Source organism: Homo sapiens, chromosome 1 (assembly GCF_000001405.40).
Source record: "Homo sapiens chromosome 1, GRCh38.p14 Primary Assembly".
Lineage (NCBI taxonomy): Eukaryota > Metazoa > Chordata > Mammalia > Primates > Hominidae > Homo > Homo sapiens.
This window is the reverse complement of record NC_000001.11, coordinates 35,257,300-35,278,737: the sequence shown is the minus strand read 5'-3', so window position 1 is coordinate 35,278,737 and position 21,438 is coordinate 35,257,300. Positions and strand designations below refer to the sequence as shown.

The 21,438-nt window shown below is 41.4% G+C and overlaps 1 protein-coding gene across 18 annotated transcripts in view, besides 5 other annotated features; it reads right to left on the bottom strand.

Moving 5' to 3' along the window:
* Positions 1-10,029, bottom strand: part of ZMYM4 (zinc finger MYM-type containing 4) — a 153,350-nt gene extending 143,321 nt beyond the window's left edge. For 13 of the 18 annotated variants that reach the window (XR_007064889.1, XR_007064890.1, XM_047434271.1 and 10 more), the window contains exon 1: positions 9,653-10,029. Coding sequence is in view for 3 of the 18 variants with exons in the window: in NM_005095.3 (NP_005086.2) it covers positions 9,653-9,691 (39 nt within the window). In the remaining 15 variants the exon portion in view is untranslated. Of the gene's footprint in view, positions 1-9,643 lie in introns of all 18 variants that reach the window. The other 5 variants (XR_246305.5, XM_017002803.2, XM_024450838.2 and 2 more) reach the window with 1 other exon arrangement.
* Positions 5,430-5,930: an enhancer, noted in NCBI's record as "H3K4me1 hESC enhancer chr1:35738409-35738909 (GRCh37/hg19 assembly coordinates)". NCBI's record gives its function as "activates a minimal SCP1, AML or CMV promoter by ChIP-STARR-seq in naive H9 embryonic stem cells {active_cell/tissue: H9 hESC(naive)}" and the evidence as "EXISTENCE:reporter gene assay evidence [ECO:0000049][PMID:30033119]".
* Positions 9,510-9,639: a silencer, noted in NCBI's record as "silent region_639". NCBI's record gives its function as "represses an Ori minimal core promoter by ATAC-STARR-seq in GM12878 lymphoblastoid cells {active_cell/tissue: GM12878}" and the evidence as "EXISTENCE:reporter gene assay evidence [ECO:0000049][PMID:35858748]".
* Positions 9,710-10,069: a silencer, noted in NCBI's record as "silent region_638". NCBI's record gives its function as "represses an Ori minimal core promoter by ATAC-STARR-seq in GM12878 lymphoblastoid cells {active_cell/tissue: GM12878}" and the evidence as "EXISTENCE:reporter gene assay evidence [ECO:0000049][PMID:35858748]".
* Positions 10,200-10,259: an enhancer, noted in NCBI's record as "active region_727". NCBI's record gives its function as "activates an Ori minimal core promoter by ATAC-STARR-seq in GM12878 lymphoblastoid cells {active_cell/tissue: GM12878}" and the evidence as "EXISTENCE:reporter gene assay evidence [ECO:0000049][PMID:35858748]".
* Positions 10,280-10,339: an enhancer, noted in NCBI's record as "active region_726". NCBI's record gives its function as "activates an Ori minimal core promoter by ATAC-STARR-seq in GM12878 lymphoblastoid cells {active_cell/tissue: GM12878}" and the evidence as "EXISTENCE:reporter gene assay evidence [ECO:0000049][PMID:35858748]".

The following is a 21,438-nucleotide window of genomic DNA, read 5'->3' as shown; positions in this document are numbered from 1 at the left end:
TTAAGAGTTCATGCTGTAGCTGGGCATGGTGGCTCATGCCTGTAATCCCAGCACTTTGGGAGGCCGAGGCGGGCAGATCACGAGGTCAGGAGATGGAGCCCATCCTAACATAGTGAAACCCCGTCTCCACTAAAAATACAAAAAATTAGCCAGGCATGGCGGCACGCTCCTGTAGTCCCAGCTACTTGGGAGACTGAGGCAGGAAAATGGCTTGAACCCAGGAGGCAGAGGTTGCAGTGAGCCAAGATTCTGCCACTACACTCCAGCCTGGGCGAGAGAGTGAAATTCCATCTAAAAAAAAAAAAAAAAAACAGAGTTCATGCTGTAATAGGTCGAGACTTTTGAGGATGTTGGGATGAGGTGAATTTATTTTGCATATGGGATGTAAATGAAGTTTTAGGGGTCAAAAAAAGAACTGTAGTGTATTAAACTGTGGCTCCCAAAAGTTATGTCCACCCAGAACCACAGTATGTGAGCAGACTAGATCTTTGGAGAGGTAATTATGGTAAGGATCTTGAGCTGAGAACATCCAGGAATAAGGTAGACCCTAAGAGACAGAAAAGAAGATGCAGAAAGAAGACCAAGGGAAGATGAAGGCAAAGACAGGAGTTTTGCCGCCACAAGTCAAGGAATACCAACCAAGCCACAAGAAGATAGAAGAGACAAGCAAAGATTCTTCCCTAGAGCCTTGATTTTGGACTTCTAGCCTCCAAAACTGTGAGATAATTTCTGATGTTTTAAGCTACCAAGTATGTAGCAGTTTTTTGGCAGCCTTAGGAAACTAATTTAAGAGACCGCCAATCATCAAAGATACAACAAATTGAACACCAAAAATAATGACTATGATAAATTAGAATGTATCACATATGGTAAAACTCATGAGTTCCTAATGATACTCCCTCCCAAACCTCACCTTTGGGAGTTGTGAGGGCGGGCATCAATTCATTTTTCTGAAAATTACTGATAAAGGGGAAAAAAATAAGCATTTATCCTGCTTTTTCTTTACAAACCGTATTACAAGGTAACCAAATAATTGATGAGGGAATTCTTTATGAAAGAATTCCAGTTAATAAATACAAAAGAAATGACCAAAAAAAATCACTCTTCTAATGAAATAATGGATATAGGCAAGAATTATCATTAAGTGAAAAGTTAAAAATAAATTACATTTGGATCCCACTGACAGAACCTAAACCAAATGATCCATTTAGTATCACTAAAAGTAGAACCACCACTTAAGTTACCTCCTAGAACGATCCAACAAGAATTCACAGCCCCATCTAATGGAATGACTATAAATCCTAATTTGTCTAGAACAATTCCAGTTTAAACTATTCCTTCTGTGTAATCATTATAGCACCCCCTTTCATTCTCAAAATTGTCTGATTGCAAATAAATTATATAACCACTCTTTATAAATATTTCTTGCCAAAGAAACTGAACCTAAACTCATCAAGCTCTACCAACTAGGGCTCTCAATCTTGGCTACAGACTGAAATCACTTGGTAAATTTTTTAAAATATTGATGATGACATTTTACCTCATGGGCTCTGATTAATTTATCGGAGATGTGGCCTAGGGATCAGGATAACTAAAAGCTCTCCAGATAATTCTAAAGTTTTAGCCAAAGTTCAGAACCACTGCTCTGTATTTAACTACTAATTTGTGGGAAATATGAGGGGTAAAGGAACATGTTAAATACCATAACAAGGATTCAATCAGCCAAATCCAAAATGTGGAAAATTATCCTGGAACAATAACCTATTTTTTTCAACAAATAAATAGCATGGGAAAGGAGCACAGGGGGTATGAGTTAAGAAAGGGGATTATTGGCTGGGTGCAGTGGCTCATGCCTATAATCCCAGCACTTTGGGAGGCGGAGGCGGGTGGATCACTTGAAATCAGGAGCTTGAGACCAGCTTGGCCAACATGGCAAAACCCTGTCGCTACTAAAAACACAAAATAAGCCAAGGCTGGTGGTGCATGCCTATAATCCCAGCTACTCGGGAGGCTGAAGCAGGAAAATCGCTTGAACCCAGGAGACGGACGATGCAGTGAGCCAAGATCACGCCACTGCACTCCAGCCTGGGCAACAAGGGCAAAACTCCATTTCAAAAAGAAAAAAAAAGGTGGGGGGAGGTGATTAAGGTTAAGAAAAACTTAAGAAACATATAAACTAAATGAAATGTGTAACTCTTAGTTGGATGATTTAAACAAATCAGTGTAAAAAGACACTTAAAGAATAAGAGAAGTCTGAACACAGACTGGATTAAGGAACTCTTTTGTTAGGTCGTAACAGTATTGTGGTTGTGCTTGTTAAAAATTCTTATCTGTTAGAAATACACACGGAAGTATTTATAGATTAAATGATGTGATGTGTGTTATTTCTTTGAAATTATTTCAACTATGGAAAAAAAGGAAGGAAGGAGGAAGGAAAGGAAAGGAGGGAAGAAAGAAGGGAGGGAGGGAGGGAAGGAGGGAGGGAGGGAGGGACAGAAATGAGTAGTTAGATGAGACAGGAATAGTAGATTAATTTTTGGCTTATAAATGTATAATATGCATGTCAGTATTAAAATACATTTGTAAGACATATTGGGAAGTGTAAAGAAAGAAAAACACATATGATTCTTGATATGTGCTGGGTTCTCAAAGAACTGACAGTGCTGGGTTCTATACGCTGGATAGACCAAAACAAAACAAAAAAAAGGACTATCTTTGGTCAAAGGCAGCTAATTAAAGCTTCTAGGAGGCCAGAAAGATGATATGAATGAAATTAAAATAACAATATAAATATTTCCTAAGTACAAGAAAGTGGGTATAGGTATGAGAAGGTTGGATAAGAACTATTACTACCCCAAAATTGCTAAATTCCAGAGATTATACCATAAACTGACTTTGAAAAACCCATGCTCCTGCTAATGGCTAAGCCACATAAAAGTGTCATTTTTTTTTAAGTCAAATGGTCAAGTATTAGCAATTTTGTTGGGTTGAATACAGTACATTTATACAATACTTGCCTTTCTCCTTTGCTAAAGTAAGTACATACAGTTAGCTCATAGTAAAATAATCAGAATTTTTAAGGGAAATATCACTTTTCTTTAAATAGTGGCTGTTCTCCTAATACAGAATTCAAAAATACCTCTTAAGTATCCATAGAAACTGAAATTTTATATTTATCTACTTACATATTCTTTAGTAAGAAAACCTTTCTGGCAAGGCACAGTGGCTCACGCCTGTAATCCCAGCACTTTGGGAGGCTGAGGCGGGCAGATCATGAGGTCAGGAGTTCAAGACCAGCCTGGCCAACATGGTGAAACCCTGTCTAAAAATTAGCTGGGCATTGTGGTGCACGCCTGTAATCCTAGCTACTCGGGGGACTGAGGCAGGAGAATTGCTTGAACCCAGGAGGTGGAGGTTGTAGTGAGCTGAGATGGCACCACTGTACTCCAGCCTAGGCGACAGAGCAAGACTCTGTCTCAAAAAAAAAGAAAAGAAAAAAGAAAATCTTTCCATTGTCAAAAAAAGTACAAACATAATCTTTAAAGTAAATCACAGCTTCAAAATATTTAGTGTATATTTTCTAAAAAATAAATGTGAGCTGTGAATACATATTTTAAGATGATCTCAAACAAAAATGTATTTCTTAGGGAACAAGTTAACTTAATGATTCCTAAGAAGTAACTTACATCAACTTTGTTTGAATGTAATTCAAATTATTCTAACATCCATACATTCCAGATAAAGAATTATGTGCTTTATTTTACAAATGAGAATATAAACACTAACCATAATATTTCTGGATAAACAAAAGTTCTAACCTATATGATCGAACAGGACCAGTTCAAGTAATAATTGATCCTGATTTAGCCATCATATCTCCAGCAAATCTCTCTGTGCCTTAATTTCCTAATTTATAAAATGGGACAATAATTGTGGTTGAAAAATACATCACATGTAAAATACTTAGAAAAATGACTGGCACTTAAGGGTTTATAATACCAAGTATTATCATTATTTATAGATGTCTCTGCTTATTACAAGATGGGAAGAACCAGCGTGTGAAAACAACTCAGAATCATTCTCAGTATTAGAATGGCCTCTCCTTTTTTTTTTTTTTTTTTAAAAAAAAAAACAGTGTCTCTCTTGCTCTGTCACCCAGGCTAAAGTGCAGTGGCACAATCATAGTTCAATGCAATCTCGAAATCCTAGGCTCAAGCAATCCTCCAAGCAATCCTCCCACCTCAGCCTCATGAGTAGACGAGGCTACTAAACCTCGGGTAATTTTTTTAATTTATTGTAGAGATGGGGTCTTGCTATGTTGTCCAGGATGGTCTCAAACTCCTGGCCTCATGCCATCCTCCTGCCTCGGCCTCCCAAAGTGCTAGGATTACAAGCATGAACCACTGTACCCAGCCACAAGTATTATTATTTACAGATCCCTCTGTGTGTTACAAGATGGGAAGCAGTGTGAAAACAATGCAGAATCACTGTATTTGAATGGCCTCTTCAAATGGTCTCTAAACAAAGAGTCAATACTTTCTAAAAGCAAATTATTCACATTGCATACATATAAACCGCAAATATTGTAATGATATGTACCGCCATGTTTTTAAGTAATACATTTAGCAAAAAGACAGAAAAGAGAAAAAGTTAATTAAGGAATTAAGAGGGATCAATCTTTTGCAATTATTTTATTATAAAATATTAAAATAACAGAAATTCAAAATAAAACTTCTCCATATCCCATCACATCATGAAGTCAATGCTTTCATTTGTTCGTATTTTCTACTGTCTATATGTGTGTTCAATTTTCACAGATTTATATATTAATAGATAACATTTTATAGTCTACATTTTCACTTAGCATTATACCATGAATACTTTTTCCACTTTGTGAAATTTGCACCCTTATACTCTCTTTCGTTTCTCCTCCCTACCCACTGAAGGTAATCAGTGGTAATATCCCAAACTGTGTCCTCCACAATTTTCTCTAAGTTCATACATGTACAAGCATATACAGACACAAATGTGGGGAGGCAAGAAAGGTCGTTTTGTTTTGTTTTTCACAAAAAATGGAAGCATACTACTTATACATATGCTTTCTCTCTTTTTTAAGCATACCAGGTATATACATCTCAAATTTAATACACACAGAATTTTAAGTATGAAAATGAATACAATTTACTAGACCGGGTAATATTTACATTTACAAAAGTTATTATTTTGTATGTAAACTTTGAAAAGACAAGGATTTTACAACAAAATATGGCCGCCCGATTTAGTTAGACCTCATACTTCATAACATACTGGTTATTATAATAGCCATGCATAAATAATTCAATCATTTATAATAAGCCTACCTAATGAGTCTTAAAAGCTATTTGAGAAAACAAAAATTTTATCATCTAAAAAAATTAAATAATATGCCAACTTTAAAGTGTGTGTGTGTGTATGTATTTGTGTGGGTGTGATGCTTGCTGTAACGCCTTCATGTATAGGCACTAGGATATGAACTTAATTCTCTCTATACTAGAGATGATAGATGAATATAGCGCTGATCCACCCACATACTCAGCTCCCCCGTGTTCACAAATTGAGAGACTAGCATTCCAGCATATTCTGAATACAAGTGTTCCGACTGCCCACAAATATAAAAACAAGACATCAGGCAGGCCTACCTAGAATTTAAGGTTGTTAACCCAATGGTCTTAAAATGCAGTCACCGGCTGGGCGTGGTGGCTCACGCCTGTAATCCTAGCACTTTGGGAGGCCGAGGCGGGTGGATCACGAGGTCAGGAGATCGAGACCATCCTGGCTAACATGGTGAAACCCCGTCTCTACTAAAAATACAGAAACAAAAAATTAGCCGGGCATGGTGGTGGGAGCCTGTAGTCCCAGCTACTCGGGAGGCTGAGGCGAAGGAATGGCGTGAACCCGGGAGGCGGAGCTTGCAGTGAGCTGAGATAGCGCCACTGCACTCCAGCATGGGCGACAGAGCAAGACTCCATCTCAAAAACAACAACAAAAAATGCAGTCACCTGCCCATCTAACCATAATCCAGAACAATCAGAAGATCCCTAAATCTGGATCCATAGGAGAGAACTCTGGGGAGTAAAGGACGCTATGAAAGATTTACAGAGCCCCTCAAAATTACAAAGCAGAGAACTTGGTACTCAACCCATAGAGCCTCTGCTGTACTAGGTAAGCTATTCTTACAAAAATAAGTCAGCAAGTCTTTTGAGTTCCTACTGTGTAGAGGTCACAAGATGTCCAGACGCAAAAAGCAATGAAATAGATACTATGTTAAAGGAGTTCACAATTTATCAAGAGAGCCAGCATATATTATCCTAAATGACCCTAAGTAACAAAGCACAATGCCTAGCATGTAGCTTATGAAATAGCACAGGTGCTTAGCAACTTTTTTGTGACATGATTACAAAGGTCAAAAGCAGTAAGCATCATTAAGTACAATACCATGTCATCAATGCAATTTCAGATTGAATAGCCTAAAGTTACTATCTAAGTCTATGTGGATAGTTTGTTTCAACTCCCTCAAGGCAGTCAATTTCCAAAGACATGGTACTGCATAGTCCCCATTAATCGGCTTGGAGTATACATATGGAATCCACATGTAATTTGGCACACACCAAAAAAAAGTGGAAAAAAGTACTTATATCATTTAAGACAATCATACCGAACATTCTAATGAAATATCAAAAACAAAATGAATTATGGATCAAAAAATATTATTTATGTATTATTTTTACTTTTTCTAGAGAGGGGGTTTCCCTCTGTCACCCAGGCTGGAGAGCAGTGGCAATATCATAGCTCACTGCAACCTCCAACTCCTGGGCTCAAGCAATGCTCCCACCTCAACCTCTGAATAGCGAGGACTAGAAGCATGTGCCACCACACCATTAATTCCAAAAATCAATGAATGTAATTTTCCTCTGTGATGAAACTGGCAAAATAATGGGGGAAACCTATACAAGTCCTGCGTATGTTATAGGTTGTTAAAAATAAAATTAACTTTTGGGCCAGGCCCGGTAGCTCACACCTGTAATCCCAGCACTTTGGGAAGCCGAGGTGTGCTGATCACCAGAGGTCAGGAGTTCGAGATCAGCCTGGCCAACATGGCAAAATCCCATCTTTACTAAAAATACAAAAATTAGCCAGGCATGGTGGTGCTTGCCTGTAATCCCAGCTACTTGGGAGGCTGAAGCAGGAGAATTAATTGAACCCGGGAGGCGGAGGTTGCAACGAGCCGAGATTGCGCCACCGCACTCTAGCCTGGGCAACAGAGCAAGACTCTGTCTCAAAAATAATAATAATAATAAAGTTTTTACTGCTACCAGTATGGTATCTTTTTTTTTTTTTCCAGCATTCCTTTAGCAGAAGATTCACAAGACCAGTAACATCTTTTAAGTGTACGACAAGAGGCAGAATATATTTAAAATCTAGTTGAATTTGTTGTCAACACACATCAATGTTTTCTAGAATATCCTAGAACATCCTAGTACAGAAGGTGAATGACAACATTCACAGCAACTGGATGCAGAAATCTCCCTGAATTAACATTACATATCTTAAGTAATTTACCCTGTATATTTTCATTGGTGGACTATATGCCATATGCCTTCATCCAAGCACAGTAAGGATCTAGTTCAAAACTGAACACAACTTGAAAATTTTAAAATTTCAAAACACATGCATTCCATACACAACATTTATACTTACAAAACTATTTGGACATACCATCATACAGCTTAACTTGCTCTATGACTAATTATTGCATTAGGTGAATCCAACATTTCGTAAACTTATCAATGGTAAAAATTTATTGTTCAAAACACTACGATGAAATGCATTAAAATAACACGACTGATGAACAGAAAGAGGGATAGAGGGGTAAATATATGATAAAACAAGTGGAATGCAATTTTTTTTTTGGAGGGGGTTTTGAGACAGTGCCTCCCTCTGTCACCTAGGCTAGAGTGCAGTAGCACGATCTCGGCTCACTGCTACCACCGCCTCCCTGCTACCACCGCCTCCCAGGTTCAAGCGATTCCCCTGCCTCAGCCTCCCGAATAGCTGGGATTACAGGCACCCGCCACCACGCCGGGTTAATTTTTTGTATTTTTAGTAGAGACGGGGTTTCACCATGTTGGCCAGGCTGGTCTCGAACTCCTGGCCTCAAGTGATCCTGCCGCCTCGGCCTCCCAAAGTGCTGGGATTACAGGCGTGAGCCGCTGTGCATGTCCGGAATGCAATGTTAACAGTAGGATCTAGGCGGTTGGGTGTATGACTGCTCCCCGTAAGTTTTATAATATTGACGGATAGTTCAAAATATTTTCCTAATAAATTGTTGGAAAAAATAATACTTGACACTTCTTTGGTCATTTACAATTTAAGCTTTTAAGGAGAGAAACACAGATTAAAGAAACTCCTCTGTGGCATCCCACACAGGCACTATAGTTGGGACAAACCTGGATTCAAATCCTACCTCAACCTTGCAACTAGCTGTGTGATCTAAGTAAATTACTTAAGCCCTCAACACCTAAATTTCCTCATCTGCAAATAGGTTCTAGGAGGAGTTACTATGAAGTTAAATTCTTCACATAAAGGTCTTAGCTCAGTGCCAGGCACACAGTAAGCACTCAAAACATCAGCTGTAGCATCATTACGAGATTACTAATTTTACGCTAAGCTGAAAGGGCATTCTTCATAAAGTAGTAATTTTTTGCCCTTTTGCTAATTGATCGTTTCTGAAACCATTCCCAAAAGGAAGACTCCTAAAAGGAAACTTACTTCTTATCATGCTAAGCGGGGAGGAAGTAAAAGAAAAGTGAGGGATATTGCTCAATCGATAGTACAGTATTGTTCGCCATCTGAAAAAAACCACTCAGAATTAAATAAGGAAAGTTTCCAGACAAACTTTAAAAGGTATTCAAACAACTCCTATGTAGAATTGGCTTCACCTCTGCAGGTTGATTGGGTACATCCCTGTTATGAGAAAACTTGTCGTATTCTTCCAAGTCCCTAATTGCGAGTAAGAGGCTAGGCTAGAACATGACATTCATAGTAGCCAAAATCTTTCTCCTAAATCAGGACATGCCAACGATCCCACTTCTTCACAGGTAAGACCACCACCCCGACTTTGGTCTAGATAACGGCTATGGGGGGAGGGGAAAGGAGGCAGGAAAATGAATTCGCGATGGTGTTACTGAAGAACCCTCCGGTTATTTCTCCTGAGACCCCTCCACGACTTATTCCCGCCACCACCACCCCCACCTGACCTCTCCCCAGTTAACTTCCAGACTCTGATGTACTAAAGATGCACTAAAGATGCACTTAAGAATCTGACACCTCCCCTCCCTGGGCCTAGATATCCCACCCCAGTGCTGGGGAACGTCGGGGGGAGGAAGGCAAACAACGGCCCCCTCCCCTCCCCCCCACCCAGCACCAAATCTTTGTCCCACCTGCCGAGGGACCGCTCGCCAGCGCGCTCCGGACCCAAGGCTGCCTCAGACCTGCCCGCAACCTTGTCCTAACTGGGCCTCGGCGACCCCTCCACGAACCTGAGTATGGCCCATTCCCGGCCCCGGGCCGCGCCCCGCCCCCCGCCGCCCGAGTTCTGCCTCACCTCACCTACCCTCTTTCGGGGGCCGGACTCCACCTCTCTCTCCGCCATGTTGGGCCCCGCTCGGAACCGCTGCGGCTCCCCGCGCGGTGGCGGCGGTACCTCTCGGCCCCCCGGCCCCCGCCCACACTGCAGGCACGGCCGCCTCGCGGCAGCTTCCCCGGACCCGGCCGGGCCTTGCGCCGAGAGTGGGGAGGGGGCGGATGCCGCGCGCCGGGCCGCAGCTTCTGAGATCCCACGGGTCCGCGCGTGGGCGGGAGGGCCTGCCCGGGGACGGGGTGGGGGCCGGGACTCGGGGGGTTAATGGCCTCCAAGGGGCCCCGTGAGTAGGATTATTTTCTCTCAGAGAAATTCCTCCGCCTGCGGTTTCTTAAAGGGATCACCAAATCAGCCCCTTGCGCGCGCCCCTGATGCGCAGGCGCACCCTAAGTCCCTCCTTCCTTTCCCACCAAGCCCCCGGTCCTGAGCGTGCGCGGTAAGTGGCCATGGGTAGGCCAAATCCTGCAAGTCTCTTTGCTGCCAGCAGCTGCTCCCACCACTCAACTATGGCCGCTCCCTTAAAGGGACCATGACGCAGGGATGAAGGAGAAATGAAAGAAATTACTGGAAAGACAATCTGGAGAATTGGGTGCAATGTCAGTGAAGGGTTCCACATCACCATCTTACACCTGACTACAGTGGTACCATTGAAGAGGGAAAGTCATGGTAAGCTGAAGTTCTCAGTGGACCTCTGAACATGAAGAATCCCAAACCAATGAGGGAACAAGACAGTCATCTCAAGGAAAACCAACTTTCCTCCCTTTCGACTGCCTGTTCTGAAGCACAAGGCATAGAATATCAAGAGCCAACTCCTATAACCTCACCTTAAAATCAAAGCTTTTGGTGATTTTGAAGATTGAACCAACAACTGGAAATAATTTCTTCAATAGTAATTTATCCTTAGAACATCAAAATGGAGAAGGATCTTAGGGAACCATTTACTCCAGTGCTCCCAATGATAAAATTGCAGCCTGATCATGGGAAGGAATTTGTCCCAATGTAACTAATGGCTGGTGTGGAGTTGGAATCAAGATTACAGTCTCAGTCCTCCAGGCTGTCTTCAGGCGAGAGATAAATTTGGTTTAATTTGATATCCCTAGAAGATTAAAAATTGAAGTTTCATGGTATTTGGAGAATATCATAATTCTCTTGTGAAGATGTAATGATTTGCAGATGATGGGTGTCCTCATTCACCTCTATTGAAGGAGCTTGACAATCTGCCTTAAAGGATAAGCATCTTATTTCTAAGCAGGAAACCAGGAAGTAGATTTGGGTCTATCTTGTTCCAAAACTGGGTCCTAAGCTGAAAATCGCTGAAAAGAATGAGGGCTTCATTCATTCCTCTTCTGTTCATTCTAGTTCCCACAAGCTTTGGGTGCAGAAAAAATTAAGTTTATAATGATAGTTCAGGGACAGTGGGGAGACATATAGTAAGAAATACAAAGAAGATGCCTCCTGAAGGTCATTTCCCATGACAAGACATATTCAAGTGGGAATGATAACTCCTGAAGTCACAGGATAATGAGATGTAACTTCTGTTTTCTGTTTTATTTAGCACTTGGTAGCTATTCTGAAACAGATGTTTTCTAATCTGTAATATTTTGCTGAAAACTTTTGGTGAAATTGCTGGAAGTTTCCATACTGGCCTTGCTTATGCCTTTAGCACTGTCTTTAATTTCACTCCTCGGTAGGAGAGAAGAAAGAAGGACAAAGAAATATGTTCATTTCAGCCAGAATTTTAAAAACATGTTCCCTTTAGTTCCATGTCCAGGACAAGAAAGAAAAGAGGAGCCAAGAAAAGATAATTCCAGGGAATGTGGCTACATAAAACTTGTAGTGGTTTCCACCTGTTTTATTGGCAGTGGAATACTCCCTTCTAATAAAATCTGGTGGTTTAAAATGTGGAGCTGCTAAGTTGGGAGTGTAAGTGGGGAACCCACTAGTCTATTCACCCAGCTTCACCCTTGCACTCTCTCTCCTTTCATGCCCCCTCCCATCATTACAGAAATGTTGAGTTTCTCAGATCACAGTTTAAACTTATTAGTTTAGTCTAACTCCACATTTTCAAGATGAAGCCTCTGAGGCTTAGAGAAGATATGATTTGCTTGAGATCACACACAGGATTAGTAACAGTATCAAGACTGAAACAGACATCTTGATCCTCAGGGCTCTGTCCTACACAGACTGTTTCTGGAGGTATTAGCAATGTGTTAGGTCTCGAATAATAGGTGGGATTTGTGCATTTCAGATAATATACAAGCATAACATGAATGTTCAGGGCAGTCATCCATATGGAGGAATAAGACAAGAGAAAACCATTTAGTGAGCACTGAAAAGTTAATCATAATTTTATAGAAGGATTCACAGAGCTTAAGTGACTAGTCCAAGATCATTCAGCACAGAGGCCAAGTCAGAATTCAAAGCCTTGTTCTTTCTGACTTATTTGAAATATCGTAAAGTAGACATTGTAAATTGGTGGCCTTGTGACCAAATCTGTCCCACAGAAATGCATTTGATTTGTATTGTGTATAGCTATATGATCTTGGTCAAGGTAATTGTCCTGTGCCTCACTTTCCTTATCTGTAAAATGGGACACCAAGAGGATTAAATTAGTTAACATCTCTAAATCTCCTAGAACACTGTTGGTTCCTAATACCATATGAGTATCATTATTATTATTATTATTATTTTTTGAGACAGAGTCTCACTCTGTCATCGAGCTAGAGTGCAGTGGCGCGATCTGGGCTCACTGCAAGCTCCGCCTCCCGGGTTCACACCATTCTTCTGCCTCAGCCTCCCGAGTAGCTGGAACTACAGGCACCCGCCACCATGCCCGGCTAACTTTTTGTATTTTTAGTACAGACTGGGTTTCACTGTGTTAGCCAGGAGGGTCTTGATCCCCTGACCTTGTGATCCGCCTGCCTCGGCCTCCCAAAGTGCTGGGATTACAGGCGTGAGCCACCGCGCCCGGCCATTATCTTTTTTTTAAAAAAAAAAAGTTAAATCATATATCAACATTTTAAATGGGATATTTCACCTACAAGTTCAGTGCTCTGACTTGTTTCAAAAAAAAAAAAAAAAAAAAACTAGACTATAATGGGGCTAGTATCTTGCAAATATCAAACAGATTTCTTTTAACTTTCTTAAGTCATCTTCTGTCATAGACTCTTGCTTGAAATGTAGCCTTGAGACTTATTTTCCCAATCAGGAGAGAACAGAATGGAGAGAAAAAGAATTTGCTAAATTTTCTTAGTTCCATTTAATCTATGAAGCTCAGCACATAATAATTTCATAGAGTTTTTACATACTCCACAGGAAATGCCTTCCACCCAAATATCCTTCCATCCAGGACAGCTAAGCCATGAGGCTGCATATAGGGAAATAAAAGAAAAGTCTGACTCTTTTAATAAAAGGGTAGAGAGAAGAAGAACAAAGAGAAAAGTAAGAGAGGCATCATTGAGAGACATGTGCTCCTGTCTTCCCATTCCAGCTCTTCAAGGCAGAGAGGATTCTTACTCTGCTCCTGTTTAAGATTCCAAGTAGAGATGACTTGCAGACTATGCCCATACCAACAAGCAGACAGCCACATATGAGCAAAAGTCATGCCCTGATGTAGTTGGGAAAAAAGAGCAGGTCTGCATTTAGCTCCTCAGAGTGTCTCTCAGCCAGAGATGAATCCAGGTTTTACAGATCTTGAAGCTTACATGATGGGGGGAGAGGGAGGGTTTTTTTGTTTGTTTGTTTTGTTTTGTTTTTAAGAAAAAGAACACAGAATTACATACACAAAATTAGGTACAGGGTTTTGGGCGGAGCTCTGCAAGTGAGTGGTCCTTAGCTCCTGCGAGAGAAGATATCCAGAAGTTCCCACATACCCTGTAGAAGAATACGGAAAGTAGCCAAGAATGCTGGCTGGCAAGTATAGGAGGAAGTAGCTCTGTAAATTACACTGGGCCAGGAACAAAAAGTAGTAACAGCCAGACCTCAGGAAGAGCTGTGTGGTTTGCCTTCAGGCTCTGAGCAAACTTAGCGAGGCCAGGCTACAAAACATTCCACTCTCTTAACAACAGGCTGTAGAGCATCCTGAGAGGTCAGGGACTCCGAATAGATTCAAGGTCTCAGGCTTCCCCAAAGTCATAATGCCTCATAAATGCAGACGTTATTTTAGATACTCACTCAGAGGGAGAGGGCAGCCACAGGAAAGATACAGTGTTTCTTTCCAAAAGAAATTATTAACTAACAGAATTCTAACCATTAGATTCAAATATGTTTTAAACTACATTGGACATTTAGGTAGATCCATTCAGAAAATGTTAGGAAGAAAGTAAAACAAGTGGGATAAAAAATAACTGTAGTGGGGCTACTTTAGATATGTTAGTCAGTGAATATTTTCCGAGGAGGTGACTTTGTTTTTCTTTTTCTTTTCTTTTGGAGGCAGGGTTTTGGCTGGGCACGGTGGGTCATGCCTGTAATCCCCGCACTTTGGGAGCCGAGGCAGGTGGATCACTTGAAGTCGGGAGTTCCAGACCAGCCTGGCCAACATGGTGAAACCCTGTCTCTACTAAAAATACAAAAATTAGCTGGGCATGGTGGCACATGCCTGTAATCCCAGCTACTCGGGAGGCTGAGGCAGGAGAATTGCTTGAACCCAGGAGGCAGAGGTTGTAGTGAGCCAAGATCGTGCCACTGCACTCCAGTCTGGGCGACAAAGTGAGACGCTGTATCAAAAAAAAAAAAAAAAAAAGAGGCAGGATCTTGCTCTGTCATCCAGGCTGGAGTGCAGTGTCACCTTCATAGCTCACTGGAGCCTCAAACTCCTGGGCTCAAGTGATTCTTCTACCTCGGCCTCCCAAAGTGCTGAGATTACAGCTGTGAGCCATCGCACCTGGCTAGGAGGTGACATTTGAACTGAAACTTAAATCATGACCTCATGACTGAGAGCCATCTGTGCAAATGTCTGGGTCAGAGCATTCCAGTCAAAGGGAGCAGCAAGTGTAAAACCCCTTGGCAGGAACAAACTTGAAGTGTTCAAGAAAAGCAAGGTGCCGATGTTACTAGGACCAAGTGAGATGGGGCAGAAGATGAAGTCAGAGAAGCAGACAAAGACAAATTATGAAGATCCTTGGATGCCATGGTAAGGATTTGTAATTTTCTGTGTATGATGTAAAGCCATTGAAGTCTTTGAAAAAAAAAAAAATGATGTGAACCCTCTGGATACCATGTGCATTGCAGAATAAGCCATAAAGGAGCAAGGGTGGATGTAAGTTACGAGGCTTTGTGGCAGTCCAGGTAAGAGATAACAATGACTTAGCCTAGGGCATTGGCGTTGGAGATAGTAAAAATTAGATTCAGAATATATGTATTTTGAAGGCGTAGCCCATGGAATTGCTGCTAATGAATTGGGTGCTGGGAGTGAAAGAAAAAGTGATTTAGGGATGATTCTTAGCTTTTTAGCCTGAATAGATAGGTTAATGCTGTTGCCCATTATTTGAAATGCAAAAAAAGAGAGCAGATGTGAGAAAGTGGGCAGAGAAAGAAGGAAGATGTCTTGGACATGATAAATTTGAGATGCCTCTAGACATCCAAGTGGAAATGTCGAATAGCAGTTAGATATTCAAATCTGAAGCTTAGGAGAGATAACAGGGCTAGAGATAGAAATATGAGAGTCATTGATATAAGCCATAGACTTGATAGAGTTACCAAGAGCACGTATATTGAAATGAATCCGGAGGCACCCCGACATTTACAGCTCAGGAAGAGAAAGAGAATCAGCCAAGTAGCAGGAAAGTCAGGAGAATTTGTGGTCTCAGTAACCAAATAAAGACTGTTTTGGGAGAGGCTCAATTACTAATTTTTCAGATGTCACTGAGAGGACAAGTAAGATGAGGCCCAAGAATTGATGATACGATTGAAAGATCTTTAGTGATCTGGACTAGAATTATTTCAGTGGATTTGTTTAAACATAAGCATGATTGGAGTGGCTGGAAGAGAGAATAAGAGATGAAGACATAGAAACAGTGAATGTGAACAATTCTTTCAAGAAGTTTCACTTTGAAAAAGATTAGAGAGATAGAGTGCTATTGGAGAGGAATGTGGCCCAAGAAATCTTTTTTTAAAAGATGGGAATCACTAATGCACATTAAAAATAGTAAACCATGACCAAATACATTGGAAAGGTCAAATAAATGACATGGGCCAGGCGCGGTGGCTCATGCCTGTAATCCCAGCACTTTGGGAGGCTGAGGCAGGTGGATCACCTGAGGTCAGGAGTTTGAGACCAGCCTGGCCAACATGGTGAAACCCTGTCTCTACTAAAAATACAAAAATTAGCTGGGCATGGTGGCAGGCATCTGTAATCCCAGCTACTTGAACCCGGGAGGCTGAGGCAGGAGAATCGGTTGAACCTGGGAGACAGAGGTTGCAGTGAACTGAGATTGCACCATTGCACCCCAGCCTGGGCGACAAGAGCAAAACTCCATCTCAAAAATAAATAAATAAATAAATAAATAAATAAATAAAATAAAATAAAGGACATGGCTTCCAAAACCTCTCCCTCCAAGCTGAGACAAACCATGGAGATGAGGCTGAGACAGTAGAGAAGAGCCAGGAAGTAGATAACCAGGCAGGTCAAAAAGAAATCACGCATCCTGGGGTAAATCCAACTCTAGAAGTCAGTTCTCCATCTGGTATTTAGTCCCTCGGACATGCATTCTTTAGAATTATCATAATTATTGTTTTTTTCTGCAAAGGAAGCTAAATATCAGTTCATTGATTGATTATTTATTTATTTATATTAGAGACAGGGTCTTGTTCTGTTGCCCAGACTGGAGTATGGTGGTGTGATCATGGCTCACTATAACCTGAAACTCTTGGGCTAAAGGGATCCTCCCACCTCAGCATCCTAAGTAGCTAGGGCTACAGGCCTGTACCACCACTCCAGGCTAATTTTTAAAATATTTTTTAGAGATGGGGTCTCTCTATGTTGTCCAAGCTGGTCTTGAACTCCTGGCCTCAAGCAGTCCTCCCACCTTTACCTCCCAAAGTGCTGGGCATGAGCCACTGCGCCCAGCCAGTAAATTCAGTGTACTTCTTCTATAAACCTTGTTCTTCAAGTTCTACTGGATGAGATACAATTCAGTACTAACCAGGATATATTAAAGATGAGCACATTGAAGCTGGGCGTGGCAGCATGCGCTTGTAGTCCCAGCTTCTTGGGAGGCTGTAGTGAACTATGATTGTTCCTGTGGATAGCCAGTGCACTCCAGTCTCCTGGGCAAATAGTGAGATCCTGTCCAAAAAAAAGGAGAAGGAGAAAAAGGAGGAAGAAGGAGAAGAGGAAGAAGAGGAGGAAGGAGGAAGAAGGAGGAGGAGAAGAAGGAGGAGGAGGAGAAGAAGGAGAAGAAGGAGAAGGAAGAGAGGAGGAGGAAGAAGGAAAGAAAGAAAAAGAAAGAAAGAAAGAAAGAGAAAGAGAAAAGATGAAAGATGAGCACAGTTAATGCTGGTGAGTTAGATATTTTGCATGGCAGAAAGAAAAGGTAAAGAACGTAGCCTGGCAAGTAACAGTATTGTAACCCAGCTGAATAATCATGAGTGGTTTTCAGCTCCTAAAATAATGACAATAATAACAGCAACATTGCTTTCAGTAATGCAGAAATTATTTTCAAAAGTAAAGTTTTAAAAAGTTTTATATTAAAAATCATTCCCGCCGGCTGGGTGCAGTGGCTCATGCCTGTAATCCTAGCACTTTGGGAGGCCGAGGCAGGCGGATCGCCTGAGGCCAGGTGTTGGAGACCAGCCTGACCATATGATAAAACCCCATCTCTACTAAAAATACAAAAACTAACCGGGCATGGTGGCATGCGCCTATGGTCACAGTTACTCCGGAGGCTGAGACAGGAAAATCGCTTGATCCTGGGAGGTGGAGGTTTCAGTGAGCCGAGATCACACCATTGCACTCCAGCCTGGGCAACAAGAGCAAAACTCCATCTCAAAAAAAAAAAAAAAAAAAAAAAAATTCACCCCCCCCCCCACAAAGAAAGAAAAACAGAATATCCACTTTTTAAATTTTATTTATTTACTTTTTTTAGAGAGAGACCAAGTCTTGCTCTCTTGCCCGGCTGGAGTGCAGTGGCACAATCTTGGCTCACTGCAATCTCCACCTCCCGGGTTCAAGCGGTTCACCTGCCTCAGCTTCCCAAGGAGCTGGGACTACAGGTGCACACCACCACACCCAGCACATTTTGTGTTTTTTTAAGCAGAGATGGGATTTCACTATATGTTAGCTAGGCTGGTATTGAACTCCTGACCTCAGGTGATCCACCAGCCTCGGCCTCCCAAAGTGCTGGGATTACAGGTGTGAGCCACCGTGAGGGGCCCAGAATATGCACTTTAAAATTCTGGAAAGATACAAAAAAAACAGTAGTTACATATTTGTAACTTCTGCTACATAGGTAGTAGTACTTACATGTCATAGTAGTAGTTACATATGTAACTTCTACTACAGAAGTAGTAAGTTACATATGTAACTTACTACTACAGAAGTAGTAAGTTACATATGTAACTTTCTACTACAGAAGTAGTAAGTTACATATGTAACTTTCTACTACAGAAGTAGTAAGTTACATATGTAACTTTCTACTACAGAAGTAGTAAGTTACATATGTAACTTTCTACTACAGAAGTAGTAAGTTACATATGTAACTTTCTACTACAGAAGTAGTAAGTTACATATGTAACTTTCTACTACAGAAGTAGTAAGTTACATATGTAACTTTCTACTACAGAAGTAGTAAGTTACATATGTAACTTCTACTACAGAAGTAGAAGTTACATATGTAACTTCTACTACATATGTAGTAAGTTACAAATGTAACTACTACAATTTGTAACTTCCAAGATAAAGGAAGATTGAGGGAATAACCTTCCTTCTATACGTTTTTAGTTTTTGAACTATGCAAATATATTACTTATTTTTCAAATCAAATAACTTTTAAACTAGTTCCCTCAGAATTCTGATTAAAATAGTAAAGAGCTGAAATAAATGAAAAAATAATGTTATCATCAATAAAACATGCAGCACACATTAAATAACAGGATTGGAACAAGTGTTACTTATCATGCTTTCTGTATGAACAGCAATTTATTGCTTACAAGGTATTTTCACACACATTTTCATCTTGCCTGTTAGAGAACATTTTATCCACATTATTTTACAGGATTGGACACAGACTCTCATAGGTTAAGTGACCATAGGTTGTCACCAAGGCCACATAGCTAATAAAAGGAGGAACCTGATAGATGTTTAGGCTGTCTGACTCCAAGTTTAGACAATTTCAGGACAAAGGTTACAAATGCAAATACTTACCCCAGAACCAAGGTTGCAAATGTAAATGCTTACAGGAGTTAGCATGCAGCATAAATGAGTAAAAAACCCCAAGTGGAATAGCAGAAAGCTCATGCCCTCTCTGGCGGGGCAGCCACTACTCATTCCAGGATATTCTTCCCAAGAGGGAATGCCAGCCCAGCCTTGTCAGATCTTCACATTGCTAACTCAGAAATTGGACTGTATTTGAAATTTCCCAATGTATTTAATTTTTTTTTTTTTTTTTTTTTTTTTTTTTAAGACAGAGTCTTGTTCTGTTGCCTGGGCTGGAGTGCAGTGATATGATCTTGGCTCCTCCACCTCATGGGTTCAAGCGATTCTCCTGCCTCAGCCTCCCTAGTAGCTGGGATTATAGGCGCATGCCACCACGCCCGGCTAATTTTTTTTAATTTTTAGTAGAGATGGGGTTTCACCATGTTGGCCAGGCTGGTCTCGAACTCCTGAACTCAAGTGATCCACCTGCCTCAGCCTCCCAAAGTGCTGGATTACAGGCTTGAGCCACCAGCTGGCCTAAGCTTACATTTCAGTCATGTTAAGAATATTCGCCGGACGCGGTGGCTCACGCCTGTAATCCCAGCACTTTGGGAGGCCGAGGCGGGCGGATCACGAGGTCAGGAGATCGAGACCACGGTGAAACCCCGTCTCTACTAAAAAATACAAAAAATTAGCCGGGCGCAGTGGCGGGCGCCTGTAGTCCCAGCTACTCGGGAGGCTGAGGCAGGAGAATGGCGTGAACCCGGAAGGCGGAGCTTGCAGTGAGCGGAGATCGCGCCACAGCACTCCCGCCTGGGCGACAGAACGAGACTCCGTCTCAAAAAAAAAAAAAAAAAAAAAAAAAAAGAATATTCACTTTGTTGGGCAGTCACTCTCCAGAACTTTTTTATCTTGCAAAACTGAACCTCAATACCCAATAAACAATAATTCTATTTTCCCTCCCCCCAGCCCCTGGCCATCAACATTCTTTCTGTTTCTATGAATTTGACTAGTCTAAATACCTCATATAAATAAATCATACAATATTTTGTCCTTTTGTGACAGGTTTGTTTCACTTAGCATAAAGTCTTCAAGGTTCATCCAGTTGCAACATGTGTCAGAATTTCCTTCCTTTTTAAGGCTGAATGATATTACATTGCATGTATATACCACATTTGTTTATCCATTCATCCATCAATGGACACTTGAGTTGTCTGCCTATTGGTTATTGTGAATAATGCTGCTATGAACATGAGTGTGCAAACATCTCGTTGAGACCCTGCTTTCAATTATTTTGGATATGTACTCAGAACCCAATTTTTAAAAAATAGCTTTACTGAGCTATAACTTACATACCATACAAGTCACCCATTTAACATGTATGATTCAGTGGGTATTTGTTTGTTTGTTTGTTTTTCGAGATGGAGTCTCGCTCTGTTGCCCAGGCTGGAACGTAGTGGTGCAGTCTCGGCTCACTGCAACCTCCACCTCCTGGGTTCAAGTGATTCTTCTGCCTCAGCCTCCCAAGTAGCTGGGATTACAGGCGCACACCACCACGCTCAGCTAATTTGTATATTTTTAGTAGAGACAGGATTTCATTATGTTGGCCAGGCTGGCCTCGAACCCCTTCCTCAGGCGATCTGCCCGCCTCAGCCCCCTAAAGTGCTGGGATTACGGGTGTGAGCTACCACAGTCACCACAGTCACTTTTAGAATATTTTCATCACCTCAAAAAAATACACTTAAAGCTATTGCTCTCCTGTCTCCGTGGCCCCTACTCCCCCTGCATTCCTAAGCAACCTCTAATCTACTTCCTGTCTCTATAGATTTCCCTGTTCTAGACATTTCACACTAATGGATTCATACAATATGTGATTTTTCATGACTGACTTCTTTCACTTAGGATACTGTTTTCAAGGTTCAGCCATGTTGTAACATGTATCAGTACTTCATTTCCTTTTTCTTTTTTTGGTGAGGGGGACCTAGTCTCACTCTGTCACCAGGCTGGAGTGCAGTGGTGCCATCTCAGCTCACTGCAACCCGCCTCCCGGGTTCAAGTGATTCTCCTGCCTCAGCCTCCCAAGTAGCTGGGACTACAGGCACGTGCCACCATGCCCAGCTAATTTTTGTATTTTTTAGTAGAGACGGAGTTTCACCATGTTGGCCAGGGTGGTCTTGATCTCCTGACCTCATGATCTGCCCACCCTCGGCCTCCCAAAGTGCTGGGATTACAGGCGTGAGCCACCACACCTGACCTTCATTTCCTTTTATGGCTGAGTAATATTCCATTGTATGGATATAGCATGGAATTTCTCAGTTTTTGAGTGCTGTCAATTAAGTAAAATAGTTTTAAACTTTCCATATAAGCCAACAATAAATATCTGCAATGCCCCCAATTTGCAACCTTT